The sequence below is a fragment of the Homo sapiens genome, chromosome 2, assembly GCF_000001405.40.
Source record: "Homo sapiens chromosome 2, GRCh38.p14 Primary Assembly".
In the NCBI taxonomy this organism is placed as follows: domain Eukaryota; kingdom Metazoa; phylum Chordata; class Mammalia; order Primates; family Hominidae; genus Homo; species Homo sapiens.
This window is the reverse complement of record NC_000002.12, coordinates 215412800-215439898: the sequence shown is the minus strand read 5'-3', so window position 1 is coordinate 215439898 and position 27099 is coordinate 215412800. Positions and strand designations below refer to the sequence as shown.

At 39.1% G+C, this 27099-nt stretch overlaps 1 protein-coding gene and 1 long non-coding RNA gene across 20 annotated transcripts in view, besides 5 other annotated features; one reads left to right on the top strand and one right to left on the bottom strand.

Moving 5' to 3' along the window:
- On the bottom strand, nt 954-4208 carry FN1-DT (FN1 divergent transcript). 2 transcript variants are annotated; one of them, NR_187198.1, is made up of 2 exons: nt 3590-4208; nt 954-2980 (listed from the first exon to the last, which is right to left on the bottom strand). It is a non-coding gene; the product is annotated as an FN1 divergent transcript (long non-coding RNA). The 2 variants fall into 2 exon arrangements; NR_187199.1 differs by having other exon boundaries at nt 3235-3592.
- Nucleotides 3648-3737: a silencer, noted in NCBI's record as "silent region_12300". NCBI's record gives its function as "represses an Ori minimal core promoter by ATAC-STARR-seq in GM12878 lymphoblastoid cells {active_cell/tissue: GM12878}" and the evidence as "EXISTENCE:reporter gene assay evidence [ECO:0000049][PMID:35858748]".
- Nucleotides 3748-3807: a silencer, noted in NCBI's record as "silent region_12299". NCBI's record gives its function as "represses an Ori minimal core promoter by ATAC-STARR-seq in GM12878 lymphoblastoid cells {active_cell/tissue: GM12878}" and the evidence as "EXISTENCE:reporter gene assay evidence [ECO:0000049][PMID:35858748]".
- Nucleotides 3831-27099, top strand: part of FN1 (fibronectin 1) — a 75204-nt gene continuing 51935 nt past the window's right edge. For 17 of the 18 annotated variants that reach the window (NM_212474.3, NM_001306132.2, NM_001365523.2 and 14 more), the window contains exons 1-13: nt 3831-4244; nt 5075-5203; nt 6438-6575; nt 7935-8066; nt 9047-9184; nt 11561-11719; nt 14614-14805; nt 15574-15753; nt 16373-16549; nt 17656-17808; nt 19098-19226; nt 20514-20657; nt 24941-25062. In NM_212474.3, the coding sequence (NP_997639.2) occupies nt 4097-4244; nt 5075-5203; nt 6438-6575; nt 7935-8066; nt 9047-9184; nt 11561-11719; nt 14614-14805; nt 15574-15753; nt 16373-16549; nt 17656-17808; nt 19098-19226; nt 20514-20657; nt 24941-25062 (1941 nt within the window). In that variant the 5' untranslated portion in view covers nt 3831-4096. Of the gene's footprint in view, nt 4245-5074; nt 5204-6437; nt 6576-7934; nt 8067-9046; nt 9185-11560; nt 11720-14613; nt 14806-15573; nt 15754-16372; nt 16550-17655; nt 17809-19097; nt 19227-20513; nt 20658-24940; nt 25244-27099 lie in introns of those variants that run through there. The other variant, NM_054034.3, reaches the window with a different exon arrangement.
- Nucleotides 5320-6519: an enhancer, noted in NCBI's record as "CDK7 strongly-dependent group 2 enhancer chr2:216298103-216299302 (GRCh37/hg19 assembly coordinates)". NCBI's record gives its function as "activates an origin of replication core promoter dependent on BRD2, BRD4, P300/CBP, MED14 and CDK7 cofactors, with strong dependence on CDK7, by STARR-seq in HCT116 cells {active_cell/tissue: HCT116}" and the evidence as "EXISTENCE:reporter gene assay evidence [ECO:0000049][PMID:35650434]".
- Nucleotides 15378-16577: an enhancer, noted in NCBI's record as "CDK7 strongly-dependent group 2 enhancer chr2:216288045-216289244 (GRCh37/hg19 assembly coordinates)". NCBI's record gives its function as "activates an origin of replication core promoter dependent on BRD2, BRD4, P300/CBP, MED14 and CDK7 cofactors, with strong dependence on CDK7, by STARR-seq in HCT116 cells {active_cell/tissue: HCT116}" and the evidence as "EXISTENCE:reporter gene assay evidence [ECO:0000049][PMID:35650434]".
- Nucleotides 19059-19353: a silencer, noted in NCBI's record as "tiled region #10603; K562 Repressive non-DNase unmatched - State 7:EnhWF". NCBI's record gives its function as "represses a minimal TATA promoter and a strong SV40 promoter by Sharpr-MPRA in K562 cells {active_cell/tissue: K562}" and the evidence as "EXISTENCE:reporter gene assay evidence [ECO:0000049][PMID:27701403]".

Below are 27099 nucleotides of genomic sequence, written 5' to 3'. Positions count from 1 at the left end.
AATTAAATGTTACACCTAAATGTAACATTTGAAATGTAACATCTAAATGTGACATATTTAAATGTAACCTTTAACATTTAACATTTCAATGTTAAATGTTAAATTTTTGAGACAGGATCTTGCTCTGTCATCTAGGCTGGGTCTGGAGTGCAGTGGTGTGATCACAGCTCCCTGCAGCTTTGATCTCTCGATCTTCTGGGCTCCAGTCATCCCCCAGGACTCATGTCAGACTCCTGAATAGCTGGGACGAGAGGTGCCTGTCACCATATCTGGTTATTATTATCATTATTATTAAGAGTGTCTCACTATATTGCCCAGGCTGGACTTGAACTCCTGGGCTTAAGTGACCCTTCCACACTGGCCTCCCAAAGTGCTGGGATTACAGGAATGAATCACCACACCTAGCCTGTTTTTATTTCAGTCCTTCTAAATGACTGGATCTGATCAATTATTTTTTGTGCTTAATCAAATGTCTCCATTGCTAATCTTCAAAACAAATGAAATCAATTTAATTCAGATTTCCATAATTGCTCATGCTCCTCCTTAACCTTCTGGAATAATAAAATTTCCCAATACCATTGCCCCCCGCCACCCACACCCCCCTAGTTCCCGAAAATATATGTGCTTCTTTTTGTTACAAAAAGTTTAAATTGCCTGAGGCTCTGGGAAAATTCTATCACTATGGCAATTCCAAGAAGAAACAAGGCACAGTCCTAAATGAAGATTTGTTCTGTCTCTACCACATATATGCCTTCACACAAATAGTAGGTTTCAGAAGGAGTTACTGGTGTAGAAGAAATCCACTACTATATTCAAGGCAAACTTCCTCTCAGAAAAATGAAGAAATGAGGACGCCTTGTGTATGTTGCTGCTACCTGAGAGCAAGTCTTTGAAACCAAAATCAGGAGATGGTTAAGAGTAAAAAAGAACAAATACTAATTTTTAAAATCAACTTTTGAAAAAAACAACTTTATTGAAGCATAATTTACATACCGTAAAATTCACTCATTTTGTGTATAATCCCCAGAATTTTGAAGCTTTTACCAAATTGTACAGTCATCACTGCAATGTAGTTTTAGAACACAGATTTCCATCACCTCAATAAGATTCCCTGTGCCCTTTTACAGTTAATTCCTGTTCCCAGCCCATAAACTTGGGTACCCATGAATCTACTTTCTGTCTCTATTGATTTCCCTTTTTTTGTCACATTTCTCTCTCTGAATACAGTTTTAGAAAGAAAGAAGGAAAGAAGGAAAAAGAAAGAAAGAAAGAAAGAAAGAAAGAAAGAAAGAAAGAAAGAAAAAGAAAGAAAGAAAGAAATCCAAGAGTATTTCCTACCAATAGGAGAATACAATTTACTGAGGAAGAACCCACCTGGATAAAATAGAATTCTTAAGGAAGTCCAACGATCCTGGACACCACACACGTTGGTTGAATTAGAGTCAGAGTGGTCTTTAAGATTTAATTATCTCTCCAATTAGAGATAACAGACTTAGAGTTACAAGGGACCTTGATAATTAAAGAATACTGTAGTAAGCCCTGTTATCTTAACTAAGAAACGCCTCTGTTTCTAAAGTTTAAAAAAAAAGGCAAAAAAAAAAAAAACCTTTCAAGTAAAAGAGTAAACTCCCAAGCATTCCTATAAAAATCAGTCAGATGTTATTTTTTTTCTTATGAGACAGAGATATCCTGTTTCCTTAAATAAATTAGATATCTATGGGATTGAAATATAAAAGTTTCTTCCAAAATGTAAGGTGGGCTTTCCACTTCAAGCTCCACTATGCATATGATTCTAGTGTATTTTCAGTGCAGTAAATATATCAAACTATCATGGTTTTGGTTGACCAAATACTTTTCTAATCACTTATTTCCTTCCCCCAGAATCAATGAATTTTAAGAAAGCTTTAGCTACAGGTTTATCTTGCTTACATCCGGATTTCCAGGTATCCTTCCCTCTGGAAGAAACACTCGGCTTCCCAGAAATTTACCAAGCATTTTACAAGGAGCTCTTTTATATTTGAAAAGAGAAAACTGTTTTGTCAAGTGATGAGAAATTCCAAAAAAATCCTCTAACCCAGACAGGATTCTAAATTTGGGGAAATCCATGGCACTCTTTCAATTTGGAGTGTGGGTCACAAAGATTCCTCAAGAGGTTTTTTTACACTATTTGTAGGAAACTGATATTTGCTGGGTGTTTTGCTTTGTTTTGGTTTGGTTTTAAATCCTTGCATGAATAAAAACAAATGCTAATTTTGTGTCTTTAATGTGTCAGGCATTTTATAGAACACAGAGTTCTAATTACTCCTGTGGCAATTACTGAAGGTGAAACTTTTGGAGAAAATAGGTACCTTGCCGAAATAAATATATTTTATTAGTAGCTTCTTGTGTTTTAAAGCAAATGGAACCTCTGAACTCCTAACACAAGGAGAAGGCAAAGCATTCAGTTCGGGTCTCTCTGGATCTACTGTGGAAGTGGTGGACTCCTCCTTCTGAAGATCTTTAAAAGCAATTGTGCCTGTGTTTATCTGACAAAAAGGACTGATGTGATGTGTTGCTAAATGAGAGACTTTTCAGATTCCCTTTCCACTCTGAGTTTAGAGTTCAAGGCGGGGGAATCTTAAAGGAGAACTTTCCACACTCTTGGAGTAAATAACAATTGAAATATAAAAAATCTGGCGGCGGGGGATGGAGGGGGCATTCTGTAATGGAACTTGTCAGCAAAAAGAAAATGGCAAATAAATGTGAGAAAGGGGCCGAAGGAGGGCAAGACAGTACATAGGGTGCCCCCCACCCACCCGGCTTTTAATGATTCAAGCAAAAAAATCTCTGCTTTGTGTGTAACTGGCACGGTGAACGTGGGAAAGGACACGAAGACCTTTCTCTCCCCACAGCTGGTCCAACTTTCCAATTTTCAGGTTGTTCACAGTGATTTCACTTTCAGTGGAAACGGGCGTCCCATCCCCAGGAAAGGAAGGCTTTCCTGCATGTGTAAAAAAGTAAACTGTTACTTTGTCCTTGCAAAAGAAAACTTCATTCTCTGAACTTCCCCGGGATCTGCAAAGCGCCCCGCGGAACTCCCGGTACTTAGTAGAAGCTCATTAAAGGTCTCTGTTCCCCTTTGCTCCCCGTTCGCCCGCTGGCCCTTTCTCAGAGCCAGACAGGCACAGCGCTGAGAAGGGAAGAAGTCCGAACAGGGAGCTGTGAAGACAAAATAAGGGAGTCCCGAGTCAGTACCCTTTAGTCCAAAGAAAGGGAGCGGGATGGGGGGAAAGGCAGCCCCGCCCTGGGACTGAAAAGTCTGGATTCTTAACAGCTGCAAGGTCGTGGATATTTTATGGGTTTTCTTCCTCACAAAATACACTCCTATAAGCAGAGATTCCCCCCCTCCACCCCGAAGAGAGGTGACGCAATGTCCTCAAACACTACCACCACCCCCAATAAAAAAGAAAAGGGAAGGGGGAGCGTCTTGCAACCCCTTCGCTTCACACAAGTCCAGCCACTCCCTTTCCTCCCAGCCGCTTCCCATCCCTTCCCCCATCCCCTAAAAAGTTTGATGACCGCAAAGGAAACCGAAAAAAAGTTGTCTTGCCCCAGTCCTGGCGGGCCATCAGCATCTCTTTTGTTCGCTGCGAACCCACAGTCCCCCGTGACGTCACCCGGAGCCCGGGCCAATCGGCGCGCGGTCGGCTGCGGCGGCCGGCGGGCGGGCGGGCGGGTGGGGTGGGGCGGGGCGGGGACAGCCCGGCGGGTCTCTCCTCCCCCGCGCCCCGGGCCTCCAGAGGGGCGGGAGGGGACCGTCCCATATAAGCCCCGGCTCCCGGCGCTCGGACGCCCGCGCCGGCTGTGCTGCACAGGGGGAGGAGAGGGAACCCCAGGCGCGAGCGGGAAGAGGGGACCTGCAGCCACAACTTCTCTGGTCCTCTGCATCCCTTCTGTCCCTCCACCCGTCCCCTTCCCCACCCTCTGGCCCCCACCTTCTTGGAGGCGACAACCCCCGGGAGGCATTAGAAGGGATTTTTCCCGCAGGTTGCGAAGGGAAGCAAACTTGGTGGCAACTTGCCTCCCGGTGCGGGCGTCTCTCCCCCACCGTCTCAACATGCTTAGGGGTCCGGGGCCCGGGCTGCTGCTGCTGGCCGTCCAGTGCCTGGGGACAGCGGTGCCCTCCACGGGAGCCTCGAAGAGCAAGAGGCAGGCTCAGCAAATGGTTCAGCCCCAGTCCCCGGTGGCTGTCAGTCAAAGCAAGCGTGAGTACTGACCGCGGGCTGAAACAGGCTGCCTCAGGGATGGGACCCTAAAGCCGACCAAAGTTGGGGCTGAAGTTTTGTGCGCGCGCGTGTGTGCGAGTGTGTGCGCGCTTTACTGAGAGAAACCAGCTGTGCACACAAAAGGACCGAGTTTTGAGCACGCTGGTTCTGAGGGCCTGGGATGATAAGACCGTGCATTGGAGGACGAGGACTCTGCGACTTTCCCGTGTTCTAATAAATTCTGCACGTTCAGATTGTCCTTCTAGGAATTAACCAAAACTTGCCTTTAAAGAGAAAAATGATGCATGTCTATAAATTTTCCGTCTGGGATTAGTGTGGTCCTTACTGCTACTTATTTCCTTCTGTTAAATAATTGGTCAAATATTTTCAACATGGGGGTGGAAAGGGGGTATTGAAATAGCTGTCTTGTTTCTAACTAACTTGGAAGAGATGTAATTGGTTCAGACCTCTTTAGGGCCGCTCAGGATACTTCACCAAGAACAGAGGTTGGAATTCTTTCCGTTTTTCAAAGACACACCCTCCTTTTGCTTTGAGAAAGCTGCTTAAAGTTGTCCTTTTTGACTATTACTCCAAAAGAATATTTAAGTTCCTTGCATGTTTTAAAAATGTGACTTCAATTGTCTGCCTTCCAAAATGTTTCCAACTTTTTTATGTAGACCCCTGGCCAGATGGAAATGACATCATTGTATATAACTTTTAGCAAAGTTAAAAGGAAAAAAATATGTACGTCAATATTCACATGAAGAAAATTCCATAATTTTGGGAAAAGGAGAAATGCAAATGTAACGTTTTCCTTCAATTATTTGCAGCCGGTTGTTATGACAATGGAAAACACTATCAGATAAATCAACAGTGGGAGCGGACCTACCTAGGCAATGCGTTGGTTTGTACTTGTTATGGAGGAAGCCGAGGTTTTAACTGCGAGAGTAAACCTGAAGGTAAGTGACAACAAGCCCCATAGTTAGTATCTTTTAATACATGAAGTGGTAATTGTTAAACTTTGCATTAGTAAGTAAAAATACATACACCATTTTTCTAATAGAATTACCTGTCATTTCCTCTTAAGTTTAAAAACTGCTTATATTTGCTTTTCACATGCTTTTACCTTTAAAACAAAGAAACGAATCTTTCCCAAATTAGTTCCTAGAGTCTTCTTTTTGCTTTACTCTCCCAAAGTTTTTGATGAGAAAAATGAAAGATTTTGTGTGTCCTCCGACAAAAAAAATTGCTTATAAAATTTTAATTTATTAGAAAGCAGTCTCAAATCTTAAACTGTTAGTTTATGAGCCAGAAAACACTTTGGGGACTTACATCGTAAAATGATTTGTCAGCGGCAGTTAACACAAAACCATTAGCCACTTCAAAGTTCTCATTCCTTTAGGACCAATGATATTTTTCTCATAAATTATAGCAACTCTGTCAGAGAAGCACTGATCAGGGGAAAATGGAAATCATAGGATTAACAACTGTCAAGGCCTTGTGGGAGGTGGGGATCTTCGAATTGTTTGTTTGTTTTTGTTTTGTTTTGTTTTTGAGACAGAGTCTTGCTCTGTCACCAGGCTGGAGTGCAGTAGCACTATCTCAGCTCACTGCAACCTCTGCCTCCAGGGTTCAAGCAATTCTCCTGCCTCAGCCTCCTGAGTAGCTGGGACTACAGGCACATGCCACCACACCCAGCTAATTTTCATATTTTTAGTAGAGACGGGGTTTCACCGTATTGGTCAGGGTGGTCTCGAATTCCTGACCTCAGGTGATCCACCCGCCTCAGCCTCCCAAAGTGCTGGGATTACAGGCGTGAGCCACTGTGCCCGGCCAATCGTTTGCTTTTTATGTGAACCTTGCTTTGACTTTCTGAGTCAGAGATTGGAATGTGAAACCCTTCACAAATCTAGCTCTGTCATAAGTTAGTACTTTATATGGCCTTTTCCTAAGAGCCTGAGATTTTTCTACAATATGAATAATTTACAGAAAATTTGACAATATGTCAAGGTCAAAAACCATGGCCTTATTAGAGCTTAGGATAAAAATCTGTATCTCTCACTTCATTTTATTCTTTGAGGTGTACCATGTTACTTGTGGAATAGAGAAGTGGGTTTTCCTTTAGAGGGGATTAGTGAACTAGAAAAGCTTGTACCTAAGTGAGGCTCACATGGACTTTCCTTTTCCCCTCAGCTGAAGAGACTTGCTTTGACAAGTACACTGGGAACACTTACCGAGTGGGTGACACTTATGAGCGTCCTAAAGACTCCATGATCTGGGACTGTACCTGCATCGGGGCTGGGCGAGGGAGAATAAGCTGTACCATCGCAAGTAAGGAAGAGATTGTGTAAAATGATGCCAAAATATCAAATATGAATTTCTCTGTTACCATCACTGTCATTTTCTGTTATCCATGACTGGATATTCCGAACTTTGAGGTTTGCCCCTGGTGACCAGGTACTCTTAAGTGGTCACCCAACTGGTTCCTGTGTTTCTTAAAGACGGGTATGAGCACAGATGGAATCAGTGTTTGATGTGTGTGCGTTTATGAGTGTGTGTGCATTTATGAGTGTGTGTGTTTCTGTACATAGTAGAACCAAGAGACCTCTTGGGTTCCATTTCAGTAAGACATGCTTAGGGGAGTTGCCCATTTTAAATCACCTGGATATCTTCAAGCTAGACAAATCATGAGACTTTTCTGCAGTGACTGGGAAGGTGTTCATGAAGAGTGAACCAGCCATGTGTTGTCTGGTCTTCATGTTTGCAATGCAGAGACCTCTTGCACCTCACAGAAACAGTCTGGTTTCTTGGTGACCAGTAGGTTATACCCAGGAAGCAGATGTCACTATTCCTAGGGATAATACAAAATTATTAACCCAATAGAGTTTGCTAAGGAACTTTGGGAACCGGGCTGATTCTCAACTCTAGTTTAGCTAAGGCACTCTTTCCAGTATGATTCACTGGGTTACCAATAGATTCTATTAAGATAGTATTTAAGTTTTTTAATCCATTCTTTAAATATAAGTCGTCTTAAAGACTTCTATTCAAAAGAACAAGTCCCGTGTGAATAGGCCCAATCAACTTTCCCCATATTTCATGTTAGGGTTTATCCAAGTTCACAGGCAAATCGCAAGAGGCAAGGGTCCATAGTGTTTACAATCTAGTTCAGCATTTGAATGTGCCATTGGGCTTAACAACTTAGAAAACTACCAGGATTTCCACACTTTATATGCATATGTCTGTTTGCTTTCCACCAAAATGACATTTCTATCCTAGGGTAAAATACAGGCTCTCCATGCTCCCAAAAGCTGGAGTGCTGTGCCTGATGTGGCCTTTTCACTGAATTAGTCTCAGTCTTAGCCTGCTGTGTATGAGTGAAGACCAAGCCTCCCAGCCTTTCTTTTCTGCTTAGGACCCAATTTCCTGTGATCTCTCTGGGAAAGCAGGATTCATGACCTCTTCCTTGCCATCCAGATTTCTCTGTGGTTTTCCATTGTGTTCTAAGCAAGACACTTAACTGAATTGACTCCAAGTGACCAGACCTGTTAACGTTTCCCCTGTCTCTGATGGGAAAGCTGTTGTCTGTGTCTCTACTTTAGCCAACCTAAGTACCTACCATGGGTGGAATATGAGACCAAAAAAAAAAATCTGTTCTGCCCTCTCCTAACATTTTCGTTGTATCTTCAACAGACCGCTGCCATGAAGGGGGTCAGTCCTACAAGATTGGTGACACCTGGAGGAGACCACATGAGACTGGTGGTTACATGTTAGAGTGTGTGTGTCTTGGTAATGGAAAAGGAGAATGGACCTGCAAGCCCATAGGTGTGTGAGTCTTAGGGCTGAGCAAGAGCTGGGATGCTTAGTTCTAATGTGGGGTTGGACCAGAATCACATCTACATAGGTCATAGACCTGAATTCCAGTGAAAACCAATAAAGAAATGGGAATTTTGTTTGAAATAATGAATTATTATATAATCCATAGTCTTCTTACAGGAGTTAGATCAAAAAGTACTGACTACACATAGAAGTCTTAACTTTGCTTCAAAAGCATAAGGTAGAATTGAAAGATTTAGAATGGAGTCATTTCTTTTACCTAATAGCTGATCTCAGATTCCTCCTTCGTCAAGATATAATTTATTTAAAAGAAAAAAAAATGACACTTTGGACACATTTCTATATGGAATGTCCTGGACCGAAACATGAAATAGTGTGTGCTTGTCACACTCTGCTCATTTCTTTTCAAATTAAAAGTTGTTGAGCTTCTTTGGATCTCAATCCTCAGTTGAATTTTGTAAGTACAAGCCTGAAAGTTTCTGGCTATAAATTTTACTCTGTTTACTTGTCTTCTAATTTAGAGGTTTTTGTCTTGTTTTGTATTGTTTTGCTTTCCAATATTTAAAAATAGCTTTCTTTGTCATTGTATTTAGGCCACTCAAAATTCATAATTGGTCATTTATAATTAAGATTGGAATTTTGCATATGTAGTCTCCCACAGACTAGATACATACATAGATCCTTGCTACTGGAAATGCTGCTGGGAAGTTTGGGGCTCGCTGAAAATATGTAGTCCATGTACTTATTAGGAGAATGGAATTTCTGCCTGCCAACTCAGCTTGAGCTTTCTTTTGCCTTGGCTACTTACTGTGTGCTTAGATGCTGGGTGTGTCATTCTTTCTGAACAGAGTGCCACTTAAAAAAAATGTGGCTGAATTTTTGCTTACACACTACACTTTAAATTACAGGGAGCTTGCACAATTCAAAATAACCTTTTTTTCCTGTTTTTCTTCCAAATTTCCCTACAGCTGAGAAGTGTTTTGATCATGCTGCTGGGACTTCCTATGTGGTCGGAGAAACGTGGGAGAAGCCCTACCAAGGCTGGATGATGGTAGATTGTACTTGCCTGGGAGAAGGCAGCGGACGCATCACTTGCACTTCTAGAAGTATGTTTTACATCTTTATGTTAAAGATTAAGCCAGGTATTGTTTTCTGGATTCCTAGAGAGAAGGGTAATACTATGTTACTCAGAACACATCCAGTATATCAGCATGCTTTGGTAACTTCTGGAAGTCAAGAAAACTTTCATAACCAACTTATTCCGCATCTTCAGAGAAGACTACATAAATAGAAAAACATATCACTTTGATAAGGTTCAATCTCAGCTCACTGCCACTGACATAGAGTTGAACAAAAGGTTTAGGTTTCCTTCTATGTTTGAAATTTAAATAGGGCACATTCACAGGCTAAATTGATAAAATTAAAAAGAATTTATCCCATAAATTAAAATGATTTATCTACTCTGGAGTTAGGGATAGTGTCTCTGACCTAACGCATTTGATTAGTGCTGTAAAGAAGCTGGCCTCTGGTGTCTTTACTGCTCCTTCTAAGATTGTCTTGGGGTCTTAATTGTTGCCTTTGGGTTTGAAGGCTCCTTTTTTGATATTGTAAACTAATAACAGCTAGAGAGTTTGTTGAAGTAAAACAGCCATTAACTACTGGTGTTGTAAATAAGTTTAAAATCAAATCCAAATAATTTGAACCTGTTTTATTTATCTAGCTGAACCCATTTAACTACCTTTAACATAGCCATCATCCAAATTCAAATTCTTTGCTAACAAAAATAGGTCTCTCATGAAAAGTGGTAACCATTTTGACCAAAGCTTTCCCAGAAACTTGCTGGTTTATTAGATATTTTGCATTTAAAATGTTACTGTGATCATCAGACTTCCAAGATCTTTGTGGCAATATTTTAGCTTAAGACAAATTAGATGTCTGATTCAAACCTTATCTGTTATTTAGAACTCTTTAAATAGCAAGTTGGGAAAAGTTTCTCAAAGAGAAGTCATTTATTCCAGAAAATTTTATAAGGACTTACTTTGTTCAAGGTATTATAGGGGTGCAGATATGAAATGAACATTAGCCCAGCCTTCAAAGAGTACTTAGGGGGTCAGGGAGATGAGAAAGTCTTATACATATTTATCATCTGCAAAACACAGTATTAAAGATTTCAACAGAAATACTGAAAGTAGTGCTATGGAGGTTCAGGGGATGATAATACTTTTCGCTGGGGATTTGGGAAAAAGCTCTAATCAGTAATTATACCTTCATGCAAACTTCTATTCTTGTGGTAGATGGATGTGGGTGTGTATTTGTTTGAACCTACATCAACTATTAATTTTTTTTCTCTAACCCAGGAGTTGCAACAATATCCAATTCACAAAGACATCAGATCCTCTATACTCACATCGTGGCACAGAGCAAATTTGGATTATAATTTAAATAATCTATTTACCAGATAAATGCACGCATAGACTAATGGTCATTTAGTTACAAATTATCATTTTATGTTGATCCCACTCTTCCAGTGGAGGGCTAACACTGAATAATTTGGGGCTATTTTGCTAGTGATTTTTAAATACTGTAGATGTTTGGGTATAGGGGAAGGGAAAATAATATTTTAGTCAAAGAAATTGTGCATCCTCTACATTTTTTACATAACAAATGAAGAAAGAGATACTACCACCTTCTTATAGCTTCTTTGTAGCCATTGGTGAAGACCCTTTGATACCTGCTTGCCTCCCCATTGTTATAAGCTTTTTTTTGTTTGCTTGTTTTTTTTGTTTTGTTTTGTTTTGTTTTGTTTTTGAGACAGTCTCACCCTGTCGCCCAGGCTGGAGTGCAATGGTGTGATCTCAGCTCATTGCAACCTCCACCTCCCGGGTTCAAGCGATTCTCTTGCCTCAGCTTCCCGAGTAGCTTGGATTACAGGCGCCCGCCACCACAGCCGGCTAATTTTTTTTGGTATTTTTAGTAGAGACGGGGGTTTCACCATGTTGCCCAGGCTGGTCTTGAACTCCTGACTGCAGGTGATCCACCCTCCTAAAGTACTAGGATTACAGGCGTGAGCCACCGCGCTTAGCCTGTTTTTAGTTTTCTAAAGCAAGGTCCCTATTGAAAGGCAGGCCATAAACAGTGATGACTAAGAAAAATCCTGGAAGAGCCTGAGAAGGAAAAAGATGAAATATAATGCCAGAGAATGAAGTTAGTCAAAGGAACAGTGTGAAAACAATAAATAAATAGATAAATGAAAATGTTATTTGACAGAGAGATGAAACTAGACTAAACCATTCAGCTGCCTTTCCACTGTAACAAATGTAATTTCATCTTTCAGAAGTGTAATACCTTGCAGCACCAGAGCTGAATATGAACATATTACCAAAAATAGATTACCAGGCATAGATAGCATTCCTTTTTTAAGTTTGAATTGACCACTTGCGACTCTCGACCTGATGTATGTATGTGCTTCCTTTGTGACACAGATAGATGCAACGATCAGGACACAAGGACATCCTATAGAATTGGAGACACCTGGAGCAAGAAGGATAATCGAGGAAACCTGCTCCAGTGCATCTGCACAGGCAACGGCCGAGGAGAGTGGAAGTGTGAGAGGCACACCTCTGTGCAGACCACATCGAGCGGTGAGGCACAGGACGAGCAGGGGCGGGAAATGGGGAAGCAGGTCAAGAAATATTTCCGCAAATCCATCTTTCCTTTGACATGCCATTTGAGGATAATTTGCAGTGTTTCAGCTAATAACCTAAGATAATTTACACATTATTGGTTGTTAAAACTTTTTTTAATGTCAAGTTTTAAATTTTTCAGAAAAAAAGAAAAATGACATACAAATAAACCTTAGGGGGAAAAAAGCCAGATTTATCTCCAAAAGATAAAACTGAGTTTTAAAGAATGCTAGCATCATAAAACTTACCATGGATAGATCACGCACACACGCACACACACACGTATTTTGAATATCCAAAGTTCATTTGAAAGGAAATGAGAGTTATAATTAATTATATGACTACCTGGTTCTTCTGCTAGGAAAGGACAAAAAAAGTGCATTTGGATTTTTTGTTTGTTTGTTTTTGAATGAAATATACTTCCCTGTCCCGACATTGAACTCTTTTTGTAGTGGAAACCATCCTTTATATGTGGTTTCTATGCTCTGGCAAACTTTGTTACATTCTATAAAGTAACACACAATTATTTCCTTCATGTATTGGCATTCGAAATTTTAGAAATTCAGAGAGGACTTAGAGATGGCCATGAAAGACATGATATCTAAGCATTCTTTTTAAAAAACAAGTTTTAATCATTTTTGGCATGAGAAAAAGATTTTTACGTCATAAATGTTTCATAAAAATCTGAAGAGAGAAATATGGCCAACAAGGACGTGCACTCCTCTCATTATTTTTAATATGTTTTGATTAACTTTTTACTATATGATGTGCCAACATCATTACGTAGTGTCTCAGCCATCCTTCAATTAAAAATATTAATTGTTCTAATTTTTCTTCTTTTGATGAGTTTTTGTCTTGCTTTGAGCACTTATGAAGGTGAACAAGATTAGATTTGATAATATCTTTGAGTTATTTTATTATCATTAATAAAATTGCTACTGGCCAAAAAAAATTATAAACATCGGCCACGCGCGGTGGCTCACGCCTGTAATCCCAGCACTTTGGGAGGCCGAGGCAGGCGGATCACGAGGTCAGGAGATCAAGACCATCCTGGCTAACACGGTGAAACCCCATCTCTACTAAAAATACAAAAAATTAACCAGGCGTTGTGGCGGGCGCCTGTAGTCCCAGCTACTCGGGAGGCTGAGGCAGGAGAATGGCATGAACCCGGGAGGTGGAGTTTGCAGTGACCCGAGATCGCACCACTGCACTCCAGCCTGGGTGATACAGCGAGACCCCATCTCAAAAAAATAAAATAAAATAAAAAATAAAAAAAATTATAAATGTCAGTCTACCAAAATAGATTAAAAGTGTAGGTGGGAATTAAATGGGGATAAACACTCAATAAATGTTAGCTATATATGAATATTGCCAATACTGAAAAGATTCCATTGTTCAAAAAAGTTTGAGAAGCAATGGGTTAAACAAAATGGAACCTGCTCTGCAGAATCTGTGTGTTCCTTTACATCATACTCTCCATGGTAGAGTGTAGGGGATGGGCGCCATGTCTCCCTAGTACGTTTGACCTTGGGATTCTTTGTCTGTGAACATCTTTGGGTTCTAGTGTTCAGCAGCACTTAGGGAGGCACTGAATTCAGTGTACCTTTGGTCTAGCCTCAGCCCTGATTCTGTTCTGCGGTGGGCCCTGGCCTTCAAGAGAACAGATATCTAAAAGTTGAAAGAAAAGATCGGCCGGGCGCGGTGGCTCACGCCTGTAATCCCAGCACTTTGGGAGGCCAAGGCGGGTGGATCACAAGGTCAGGAGATCGAGACCATCCTGGCTAACACGGTGAAACCCCGTCTCTACTAAAAATACAAAAAATTAGCCGGGCGTGGTGGCGGGTGCCTGTAGTCCCAGCTACTCGGGAGGCTGAGGCAGGAGAATGGCGTGAACCCGGGAGGCAGAGCTTGCAGTGAGCCGAGATTGCGCCACTGCACTCCAGCCTGGGTGACAGAGTGAGACTCCGTCTCAAAAAAAAAAAAAAAAAAAAAAAGAAAAAAGAAAAGATCAACACATCCTGTTGTGTTATTCTGAAAGGAAAGCTGTCTTAAGAGGATCAATTGGTTTTAGAAAAAACACAATAGAATCACAAATAATCCAGAGGAGAAATAAAATGTGGAAGGTGGAGGTGACCTCCAGAAAATCCAGGACAGCTGCTGAAGGCACCCTCTGATGAGCTCGGTTACTCAGAAGAGTGAGGATGTGTTGAAGGTATCTGCTGTATGGAGTGGCAGGATGATGTCTGTGATTGAGAAATATAATCCCGGCCAGGCGAGGTGGCTCATGCCTGTAATCCCAGCACTTTGGGAGGCCGAAGCGGGTGGATCCCCTGAGGTCAGGAGTTTGAGACAGGAGTTTGAGGTCAGGAGTTTGCCAACATGGCAAAACCCCGTCTCTACTAAAAAATACAAAAAAAATCAGCTGGGCATGGTGGTGCGTGCCTGTAATTGCAGCTACTTGGGAGGTTGAGGCAGGAGAATAGCTTGAACCCAGGAGGCAGAGGTTGCAGTGAGCCGAGACCGCGCCACTGCACTCCAGCCTGGGCAACAGAGTGAGACCCCATCTCAAAAACAACCCAAAAAACCAAAAAACAAACAAACAAAAAGAAATATAATCCCAGTAGCCCCAGCTGAGCTGGAGGATGGAGACCACTTGGTAGACACTTGTGGATTATTTCCTAGGCTAAATGCAAAAGCTACTGCTGAATAAGGGACATTTTTTTCCAGTCCCAGGCCAGTAGCGACATAGATTTCAGAGTGATCTCTGTGAGATCCTGAAGATCCTGACTGCAGAAAGTAGTGAATTGTCTTCTCTCACCCAGTTTTGTGACATTCCCTTTTCATGCCATTAGGATCTGGCCCCTTCACCGATGTTCGTGCAGCTGTTTACCAACCGCAGCCTCACCCCCAGCCTCCTCCCTATGGCCACTGTGTCACAGACAGTGGTGTGGTCTACTCTGTGGGGATGCAGTGGCTGAAGACACAAGGAAATAAGCAAATGCTTTGCACGTGCCTGGGCAACGGAGTCAGCTGCCAAGAGACAGGTATGCATTATCTTTTTGAAGAATAGGACTGATGACTTTATTATTTAGTTTTTGAAGGACAATACATTTTCAATGTGAAACAATAAAACAAACAAGAAGCCTGTAATCTTACCACCCTGTGATAACAATTAGGGTTGGCATTTGAAATAGTTTCTTCCAATCTTTTTAATTTATGTATTTTCTTTCTGGTCATGGATATCATGGGTAAAAATTTTATTGTATTTATCTGTCTAAAGTGTTGTTACAAGAGAGCTACTTTCTGAATAATCATCAATGTTTTATATTCTAAATCTCAAATTTCAGCAGCTTTGTGATGTAAACATCTTCCAATAACCTAATATATGTATTCTGCACTACAAACATGGTAGTCACTATGGCAATAACAATTGCTACACAATTCTCCCCCAGAATAGTCTCATATATTAATTTTATGGCATAGATATAGTCATAAATATTATCCCAACATCCTTAAGCAGCATCCTTAATTGACCTGTATAAATATAGCTTTACAAATAGAGAAACTGAGGCATGGCAGCAGAAGTGGTCATGAAGGACATCAGCAGAAGAACTCAGGTGTCGTTCTATCCACAGTAGACATGGATTCCTGAGTAATGCATTTTGACTGAAATTAACGAGATGATCATCTATACTCATAGCTTCTTCCTTTGAGGGCACAAGCTCAGTATCTCATTGAAGCCATAAATAAGCAGCTGCTGGTGGGAGATAAAGCATCTCTGTTTACTGACACTCTTTTGATTATGATTGTAGCTGTAACCCAGACTTACGGTGGCAACTCAAATGGAGAGCCATGTGTCTTACCATTCACCTACAATGGCAGGACGTTCTACTCCTGCACCACAGAAGGGCGACAGGACGGACATCTTTGGTGCAGCACAACTTCGAATTATGAGCAGGACCAGAAATACTCTTTCTGCACAGACCACACTGGTGAGTGTCCCAAGGGGGAGCCACAGAAGTGAGAAAAACTCACTTTCATGCCCTAGTTTTATTTGCCAGCATTCTAGCCATTTATTTTGAACCCGCCCAAGAAGCATCGCTTTTGTTCAGTTTGGACTCAAGAGATCGCAGCGCTCACGTAACAGCTGAGGATTCTTCCATCTTCCCCAGTACTGTTGGGAAATGACACCAAGGGAGTAGCCTTCCAGTTCATTTGATTTAACACATTGGGATTATGATGTGATTAAAGATACTTGTATTTTGGAATCAGTAGATGATCCCACAGGGCTGAGGAATACAAAGGATGAATGTTTTAGTGCCTTAGCTTATTTTCCAGTTAAAACAATGTTTTATTCAAAGCTATCATTTAATCTTTTGTGGGGGGGGTGCTGGGGAAATGACAGTGAAAGTGGGATTTAAACCTGTTTTGAAGGTGTGAAGGTAAATATGCTAAGAAGCTTAGAACTATATTATCAGACATTTTTTATTCTGAGATAGACTGTCTGTGAATGAGCTGCAGAAACCTGGCTCTCTCAGACCAGTAATTCTGTGTACATTGGAAAGCTCAGCGGTAATCTTTTCCTTCTTTGTTGTGTATTGTTCCTGGCAGTTTTGGTTCAGACTCGAGGAGGAAATTCCAATGGTGCCTTGTGCCACTTCCCCTTCCTATACAACAACCACAATTACACTGATTGCACTTCTGAGGGCAGAAGAGACAACATGAAGTGGTGTGGGACCACACAGAACTATGATGCCGACCAGAAGTTTGGGTTCTGCCCCATGGCTGGTAAGATGAAGCCCTTGTGGGTTGTCTTGTTTGACAACAATTTAGGGAGTAGAGACTAAAGACTAGTGTCCAGTTTACTCCCATTTCATTCATTAACACAATTTTGAGACAACAGAAAACTTCATGTGAAGTGTGTTTGTGTGTGTGTGTGTGTGTGTGTGTGTGTGTGATGTTACATCATATACATAAGGATTGGGAAGAATAATTAGATAATTATTTATATAATTTTTAAACCTCATTGACATGATTTAATGTCAAAAATATAATTACTTATTTGTAAGTCTGGAAATATGAATTTGCACAGGTTTGTCTTTGTAAAGAGCACACAACTGAGTAGCTTACAACATTTAATATATGTATGACGGCTTTAGTCACAGAGCTACAATATTGACACATGGTTGTGGTTTGATGGGCATAAGCTCTATCACTTATTAATAAGTGCCAAAGTGACTAAAACTCAATGTTTTCTAACAGGTAGGGAATCTCACTCTTTTTTTAAAGGTCCCCAGTTTGTATAGATGGCGAACAAATGGAAACGAATACCTTTTACTTGTTTTCAGATTTCAAGAACCCCATAGATTCCCTTTAATTTTCCAGTTGTAGAAACAAGAGCCTGGGCGGTAGGCACTGTCAAGTGTGACTATGAGACAAAGAAATTGCTTATACTTTTATTTCTTTCAACAAAAGAAGATGCTGAGTTTAGAAGAAAAAACCCACTTTTGCTTGTAATTCTATATCCAAACCCATAGTTTTTATTTGATCCAGAATAAACTGGAACTGGGAAAAGTTATGAAGCTGTAGTTAAATCCAGGCTTCTAGAACAGCAAGAACCCTTTGTGTGGATGTGTAGATATTATCTTAGTTTAACATCCCCTAACCCTTCCTGTAACTATTTTCTATGACACGTTTGGACTACGTTTTCTGCCTCCAGGGCTCAAAAATTCTACCCCTTCACCTGACAGCACTTAGATGTCTTTGATGCACACAAAGCTTCTTCCCAAGTGAGAATTCTTAGGATGACCAAACTGAACTGATCCTTTTGCACACATACATGTTTAGACCTGGTGATCATTTATCAAGTGCATTTCTTATCCATTTCCAAACAGCCCACGAGGAAATCTGCACAACCAATGAAGGGGTCATGTACCGCATTGGAGATCAGTGGGATAAGCAGCATGACATGGGTCACATGATGAGGTGCACGTGTGTTGGGAATGGTCGTGGGGAATGGACATGCATTGCCTACTCGCAGCTTCGAGGTATGCTGGCTGATTAACAAAAATATTTGAGATGGCAAAAGGTACAGAAAGGGACACTTTTTTTTATGAAAACTTGCACTATGCCAAAAGCAGGGGAAGAAATATGGAATGCCACGTCATTCATTAGTCTACTGTGCATGGTAAGATAAGCCTGAAAGGCTTAGCAGGCAGCCTGCTAAGACAAGCGGCATAGCAATGCTAATGTTCTGAAACACTCCTAGCATGTAAGTACTTAGGCTGAGCCAAAAAGATGGCTTCAAAAGTAAGAATGAAACATTTGATCCATTCAGCTTTAGGCTATGCCACTGGATTCATGTCTAGAAAAGATAGGATAATTTCTGTAAAGAAATGAAGACCTTGCTATTCTAAAATCAGATCCTTACAGATCCAGATTTCAGGAAACAAATACATAGGGGACTAACTTTCCTTGTTCAGATTAGTTTTTCTCCTTTGCACCCAGCTATATAATATGAGGAAGTATTGACTTTTTAAAAGTGTTTTAGTTTTCCATTTCTTTGATATGAAAAGTAATATTTCGGGAGAACCCTGAGCTATTAATAATCTATGTGGCTAGTGCGTAGATATTGGTCTGAATTTGTTCTCCTTTTGTGGTGTCCAGTGGGTAACACCATCCGGGAGTAATAATTACATGTGGTGTTGCAGAACTGAAAGAGACCTTAATAACACATAGAGACCTCACTCTATATAGATCAAGGAGCTGAGACCCAAAAAGGAAAAAGTAATTTTCTCAGGATCTCTCAAAGAGTGAGCAACAGAGTTGGCCTAATTTATTTTAGCGTTGTGAATACTGTTGACATTTTATTTCCCAAATCTAAGTATCTCCTCCCCTTCCCCCTATTCCAGAGACCAGACCACCACATCATGCTGGGTGTTAGATAAATATGTTTAATCTTCTTCTTATTTATCCTAACAAGCAGATATTTAAAGGAAATTATCAACTAAGCAAGAAATTTTCAGAAAGTAAGACATGTATTTGTTCAAATACTGGCTTCTCACAGGAAAGTGTATTTTACCACATTCTTTACTTGAGCATACTGTAACCTCTGCAAAAGTTACACATTTTGGGAAGAAAAAAATTTTTTTGGCAAAAATTGTATTACTGACCAAACTTTGAAAAAAATGTTATTCTATGCTTGTAGAAAAGTTATTTTAGTGGAAGGTGTTGATAATTAAGTGGAAGTAGTTGTATGCTTTGAGAAGCATACCTTTTTTCTTTCATCAATGGAACTTTAAAAAGTTTCTCACTCACCCACCTGTTTCCTAAACAGATCAGTGCATTGTTGATGACATCACTTACAATGTGAACGACACATTCCACAAGCGTCATGAAGAGGGGCACATGCTGAACTGTACATGCTTCGGTCAGGGTCGGGGCAGGTGGAAGTGTGATCCCGTCGGTGAGTAGCCCTATTTCCCTAGATGAGTTTGCACAGGGGGAATGGTTAGCAAGTTTCAGATAAGAAAAGCTATGTGAAATCACATGACTGAAGTTGGCTCCAGACTTTGATCAGTTGCTTGCAAAGAACTTTGCAAAGTCTTCTCTCTAATACTGGACCAAAATATCTCGATATTGGTAGTCGTCTGGTTTTTGCTGAATTTGGTGACAAATTTAGGCTTATTTTAATTGAATGGAATTTATTCTTGGGTTTAGAATCATAAAGATAATCCATGCTATTAAAAGTATTCTTTCCTTTTTTTTTTGTTTGTTTTTGTTTTTGTTTTTGTTTTTTTGAGAGAGAGTTTCGCTCTTGTTGCCCAGGCTGGAGTGTATGGCACAATCTCGGCTCACTGCAACCTCTGCTTCCTGGGTTCAAGCAATTCTGCTGCCTCAGCCTCCTGAGTAGCTGGGATTACAGGCATGCGCCACCAGGCCCAGCTAATTTTGTATCTTTAGTAGAGATGGGGTTTCTCCATGTGGGTCAGGCTGGTCTCAAACTCACTTCCTTACCAGCTGTGTAACAGCATGAGCAAAGGGTGTAAATATCACCCACCAAAACACTCTAGGTTTTTTTTTGGCCGCCCTTCAAAATAGAACTAAGCAAATAGTGAAGGCTGAGCCTTAAAAGAGCTGTGTTACCAGCACTACAAAGTTTAAGGTGATCCATTACTATTTCTTTACCAAAAGAGACAGGTTGCTCACTGAGAAAACAAACTGATAACATCCGTTTGTTTGACGTGAGATTACCAGAACTGAGAGAGAAGCCTGAGAGGTTTTCTTAGAAGCTGCTCAGCAGGTATACTCGTAAAGTCTAGTTCATTCATTTAAATGTCAAACAGTTTCTTTAAATTTTGAAGAAGTAAGGAAAATGAAATTATTGCAGATTTTTTTCTTGCTATTTAAATGTTAAGCCAGTTATATTAATATGGGTAAAAATAATAACTAATATTTAAAATTAATGTGTAGATTATCAATATACACTGAAATCTAAATCTTTACATTTTTATTTAGAAATATTACCTTTTAGAAAACTAAATATTCCTCCTAATAGGTACTTTGGTTTTTTTTTTACTACAAACTGTCCTGTAAGGTAAAGAATGTGAACAAAATATTTTTTTAACTGCATATATTTGTAAGAACAATTGCAAATTTCTATTTAAGCTAAATGTATGCTCTAGCACCCTGAAATTAAATTCGTAGTTATAAGTCTTCAAGGCTGTTTATCTTTTCCTTCCATGTATTTTAGACCAATGCCAGGATTCAGAGACTGGGACGTTTTATCAAATTGGAGATTCATGGGAGAAGTATGTGCATGGTGTCAGATACCAGTGCTACTGCTATGGCCGTGGCATTGGGGAGTGGCATTGCCAACCTTTACAGACCTATCCAAGTAAGTAGCTCTATTACTGCAAGTTGAGAACTGCCAATTGGGTTATAACAACAGGGCAGTGATTATTAATGCTCTCATGCCTAAGTTGGGGGTCTCCCCTCTTTCCCACCCTTTTCTCTTGTTATTATCTAATAATCAATTGAATTTTTGATTAAAATAATTTTTCTCTCTTCCTCTATCAAGTAAAAGGTAGAGAAGGCTATGAAAATGTGCCTGTTTATAATTTTACTTCTTAACTCTGTAAAATATTCTGTTAGGTTAAGACACTCTGGCTAATTTCATCTTATATCCATACATGGAAATAAAAACCACCAAGTGAGTTATGCTGGGAGTAAAGGTTTGGGGCTTTATATTATGATTCTTAACAGAGAAGCTGCATAGAGAGATGGCATGAAATGCAGCATAAGGTACGTGTTCATTCAACATGTCATCTAAGCTCCCTTTGCATCAAACTTTTCATTTGTTTGATCAGTTGCCACCAGGAACACAGTATGTTGGGCCAAGGGTTGAGTAACTTGGTCAACTCTCTGCCCACACAGTTCAAACACTCTCAAATGTTTATTGCTGGGTTTTTCCAGGTCACAAAGACATCATGCCTAGCTGTAGGTGTAATTAGTTCATTTGGGGGGAAAATTGCATTTAAATATTCACTGAGTGATTATAATAAAACATGTTAATAAAACATGAAAGGCTAATTAAAAGGCATCAGTTATTTGAGCAACTGCTGAGGTGCAAAGTCTCCAAAGTCTTCACTAACGTTTGACTGAAAATATGGCCTACATTCAGAAACAAAAGAGTTTCAGGGTGTCAGAATCTGCATGCGACAGAAATTAAGATTAACTCTGTGATAAAAGATTCACTGTGACAGAGAACAAGCTATGGGAACAACTTGGCCAAAGGTAGTGTTAGCCAAGCCTCATTCCTCCATTTCCTCATCTGTAATATGGGAAGATTGTAGCTGATTACCTTTAATGTTCCATCCTAAATACTAAACACCCAGATGCACCTTTTCTAGGAACTTGGAAGATTCTGCTTTTCCCAACCCTCAGACACTGTCAGTGCTGGGGAAGGTGACTTCACTTTTGAAGGCTTATAGCACAGATTGACCAACCTCCTAAATTGTATTTCTTGGAGGATTTAGGTGTAGGAATCACTTAATTTTTTGTAACTTAATATATATTTAAATCTGATTGTGGAAGTACTATAAGTATATGAATGGTTTGTTTGTTTATATGATGCAAATGATACTTAAATGGTAGAAACTTCTAAAAAAATGCTCTGTGGTTTCTATATTTATGATTGTTATTGGTGTTGCAATTTGCTGAAAATGATTTCCTTCTGAATGATTGAGAGAGATCTTCGTCTCTCTCAACATAAGGCTGTCCACATAGCTGCTTGCTGGAAGCATTTAGGTGGACATGTTGGAGATAAAATCTGGAAAGGAAGGAATCCTTGAGTATTGGAGTATTACATGTTGACCTTACTCCTACTCTTTAAAAAGGAGAACAGCAAGATCCCACTGAGCATAGAGGTGATTTCGGAGGGAAGAGATTGGAATTTGACCTCAGATATGCTCTTTGGTGCTTATCTGTATGTCTGGTTTGCTCCGTGGCCTAGCACGTAGGGCTTTAAGAGTGTGGTGAGAATAAGGGAACAGCAGATTACCAACAGATTGTCTCTGAGTCCTGCCTTGTTTGTTCCTCCTACAGAGAACTTGGTAGAGTTGTTCAAACTAGCAAAAGATAAGAGGCATTTGGTTTGTCAATAAGCAACTAGAAAAGCACAGATCTCAGCAAAATAAATAGAGAAAAAAAGGACTGAGTCAAAAAATCATAAATGTTTAACTTCTCCAAGGACACTACTATTGGAAATTATTCATTTAGACTTTATTTGAAACTAATTTTAAAAGTGTAGACATTGTACTATCTCCTTTTTTTGGTATCATCTCAACTATTTTATTGTTAGTTTATTCATATTGAATAAGAGAGGGAGTAAAGATTTCACAATGGCGATAGCTAGTATATGCCAATTAAGTTAATTTAAAAAGTTATACCAACTACCAGTAGCGAAAAAGGACTGTCAAAAGTTTAAATCTAAATAATGTAAAAGATGTCATAATTTTTAACTTTTCTGTCTTTAAAGGATACATAGTATAAGCTAGAGTAATTATACGTAGTATAAGCTAGAATATAGGAATTTAATTGATCTAAGAAATAACTGACACAAAGTCTCTTTACTTCCTGAACAAAAACATGCTAAATTCCATGCTGTTCAGTCCATTTCCTTTAAAGGTGGGCTATGCCACAGGGCTAGATTTTAAAACGTGGAATTTCACACCAGTGCTCGAAATCTTATGAAAGCAAAAGGGACCTCTGTAGTTGTACTCCACTTTGGCTTGAGTAAAAACCACTGCTGTACCCTTTTTCTTTCCTTTCCCTGCCCATTTTTATCCTCCTCCTTGTGTCCTTGTGGACATAGAAATATGATTAGGCTTAGAGGTGAACAGTAAAGGTCATTTATGTTATCTTTTCAAAACTTAATAGACATTTATCCATCATAAGCTTGTCCCCCCTCAAAATCATGATTGACAAGACTAAATAAAGTGTATATCAGGTGTCTCTTTATGGAGGAAATTGTAGTAGGATTTATTTAAAGGATCAATATTTAAATAGCCCTATGCCAATTATCATAAATAATTAAGGACATGATATTCCTAGCTTTCCTGATTTACATGGAAGTACGTTAAATAGTCACATCTCCAAAATTTTTCTTGAATAGTTGTCTTTAAAAATGTGTTTACATTTGTAAGGATCTTCATAAACAGAAGGGGTAATTCAAAGATAGGCATGGAATTGACTTATGCCAATTGATTAAAACAAACATCCTGTGTGTTCTGTGAAATACATACAACTTTAAAATGAAAAACTCATAATTTTATGCATGAATTTTGGTGTTCATGTGGCTTGGAAATATGTGCATTAAATGGAATTAAGATTCAAAGTATTTGCTAATCTTCAACCAACTTTGAATTGTTACTGGTGTGGAAGTGAGCATATTGTTTTAGAATTTCTGAATCTACATGGATATCCAAGTTATATATTTTTTCTGCTACAGAAAGCTTTGTTTTCCAAGAGAATTTAATGGCTTAGATAATAAAGTTTGAAAATCAATGTATTTTTTTTCCTAGAAGCTTTCAGAAAACTTAAATCTGTTAATAATCTGGTGAAGTGCTTTATTACACATACAAAATTTTGCTCTGTTTGACAGAGTGTCAGTTAGAAATTCTTGAAAAGGTTACTATAAGACACAATTTTTATTTCTAGTAATTTAAACATTGACTGACATCATAAAGATAGTGTTTTAAGAAAAGATAGTTTTCTGTTCTGCAAGCATAAATTTTCTAGCTATTTCATTATTATCTTAAATGGAGTTAACACTACTTAGAAATTGATGCTACTTCCCTTATTTTCCTTTTATTTTAAACAAAAGAACCAAAACCATACTTTAAATTTTGTTGATAACAGTGATATACATCAAGGTGTAGAAATACTGAATTTAGTATACACTTCATAAAGTCATTTCTGTTGACAACTGATTTTGGAAAAAAAATAAATTTAATCACTTAATAATTTGATGGATCAATGGTGTGATTTGGGAGTAAACTTCTTGAATAAAAATAAAACTTGATGTTTTTTCCAAACTGATAGACTGCTTAGACTGATGAGAAATAAAACTAGGTCTTTAATTATTACCTTTGCTATTTGTCTAAGATTCTACCCCCATTTAGAAATGTGTTTGTTTTACATCATCTCATATGGCCTTTGGAATGTTGTTTCCTTCTTAGGTAGTAGATTCATTCTTGATGAAAACCTTCCAAAATTAGAATTTGCTTTAAAAGAGGCTCAATACAATAAGTAAATGAAGTCTGTGTTCTGTATTACATTATTTTTGTAGGATCGTTTCACAATTTTCTCACAATTCTTACTTTGATAGTAGAGAAAATAAAAGCAAGCCAAGAGACTTTTTTTTAAAAATATATTTTATTTGCTATAAACAACTATGATTTGCATTTCTCATGTGAAGAATAATAATTATCGGCTAAAAATGGATTTGCTGCATTGATTTTCAACGTAAATATTTAAAAGATTAATGCCAGATAATTTTATTATACTCACATTTAACGACAAGCAAAGCTGTTTATAATGATGACTGTCCATGTACACAGTTTTAAGTTGAAGTGAGTGAATATTCAAGATAATTAAATGCTACATTTTCATTTTCAGGCTCAAGTGGTCCTGTCGAAGTATTTATCACTGAGACTCCGAGTCAGCCCAACTCCCACCCCATCCAGTGGAATGCACCACAGCCATCTCACATTTCCAAGTACATTCTCAGGTGGAGACCTGTGAGTATCCCACCCAGAAACCTTGGATACTGAGTCTCCTAATCTTATCAATTCTGATGGTTTCTTTTTTTCCCAGCTTTTGAGCCAACAACTCTGATTAACTATTCCTATAGCATTTACTATATTTGTTTAGTGAACAAACAATATGTGGTCAATTAAATTGACTTGTAGACTGAGGGGATTTTGGTTTTGGTTTTGGGTTTTGTTTTTTTGCGGTGGGGGGGCTGGTATTTGGAAGAATTTAGCTCTTTATGTTACAGAAATCTTTTTTGCAAGGACTTAGAAATGATAATGCTTAAGATTGTTCTTGCCCAATGTGGGAAGAGAATCTAAGGTTTTTATATGTCTTGCAACCTCATCAAAGGAAAATTACTGGCATCATTTTCATAATTTGAAAAAAAAAGCCAAATTAATATATTTCTTTTTTGATTCACTTTTTAAGTGATCATTTTTAAAACTTTACTTTTGACCCACTGAATTTATTTAGATAGAAGGAAAAGAGATGATGGGAGGGAAGTTTAGATAAAGGATGGAAGTTGGTTTTATTTAAACAATAGCCCTGTGATTTCCTAATGAGAAGTGACTAGAAATTGAAGAAACCAAATAAGGAGGATATTGGTCAATTTAGCTTTAGTTTCTCTTACTCTCTCAAGCCTGCCCTGTTTAACTCCAAAGTTCATGGCTCATAATTTGAGAAACACTGTTTTAAACACAGGAGAAAAAAATGTCCATTTTAAATCATAGCTATTGAATTCTACAATTACAAAGAAACAAACAAACAAAATTTGACCAACCCAGGCGGTTAAATTTAAACTCTTCAGGAAAAATTTAAGCTGTTAAAATTATTCTTTTTCTAAATTTCTAAAGTGGAGGGACAGAATTTTTCAGATTTAAAAGGGCCTCCTAGGTGCCCAGAAAATTAGTGGAAAGAACCACGTCTAGACGCATCTTTGATGTGTCAGAGTTCCAAGGATAAAAAGAAACTTTTAAAGTCTTCTATACTCAGCCAGGTTATCAATCAAATATGAGGGCAAAATAATATTTTCAGACAGATTTTAGGCAGTTTATCTTCCATATATCCTTTTCTTTAAGGGTATTTGTAGATACACTCCAGAAAAACAAGAGTGAAATATGAAGGAAGTTGTGGGGTCCAGCAAACAGTGCTTCCAAATCAGACCCCTGATAGAGGTGGAAAACTTTGCAATGCAACAACTGCGTAGCTGGCTTAGAGGACAGCCAATACAGATGGAACAGAAAGATGAGGATGGGATTGAGGGATCAGGGATTGAGGTCTCCAAGAATAAAAAGGGACTTCATGGAAAAAGTAGGCTTGTGGATAATTAATCACAGGGGCAAATAATGCAGTTAAAATAACAACATGACAATCAGGTGGAGGAATGTATAATAAACCCAAATGTGGCTGGGTAGAGTGGCTCACACCTGTAATCCCAGCACTTTGGGAGGCCAAGCCGGGCAGATTACCTGAGGTCAGGAGTTCGAGACCAGCTTGGCCAACATGGCGAAACCCCGTCTCTACTAAAAATACAAAAATTAGCCAGGCTTGGGGGCGCACGCCTGTAGTCCCAGCTCCTCAGGAGCTGAGGTAGGAGAATCACTTGAACCCAGGAGGCAAAGGTTGCAGGGAGTTGAGCCAAGATCGCGCCATTGCACCCTAGCCTGGGCAACAGAGCGAGATTCTGTTTCAAAAAACCCCCAAGTGTATTATAAGGCAATAATTCCTATACGAAGCAAACTAAAATGCAGCAATATTAAGGTATAAAAACAAAGAGGAATAATTCCATTGAACCTTGATTCTGGAAACTTTGATCCACCCAGCAGTCATGATGTTAGACTCATTGAAAAGAATGTATTTCTAATGCATGATGCGATCGGTCTATAGATGTGTCATGGAAACTTGGTTGCAACTTCAAGACAAAATAAAAAGTAAACATTTACATGAAAAATGGTGGATATGGAAGGTGGAGAAGAGAGGAGATAACAGCTTTATCTTTCAAAATAGAGAATTGAGAGATGGTA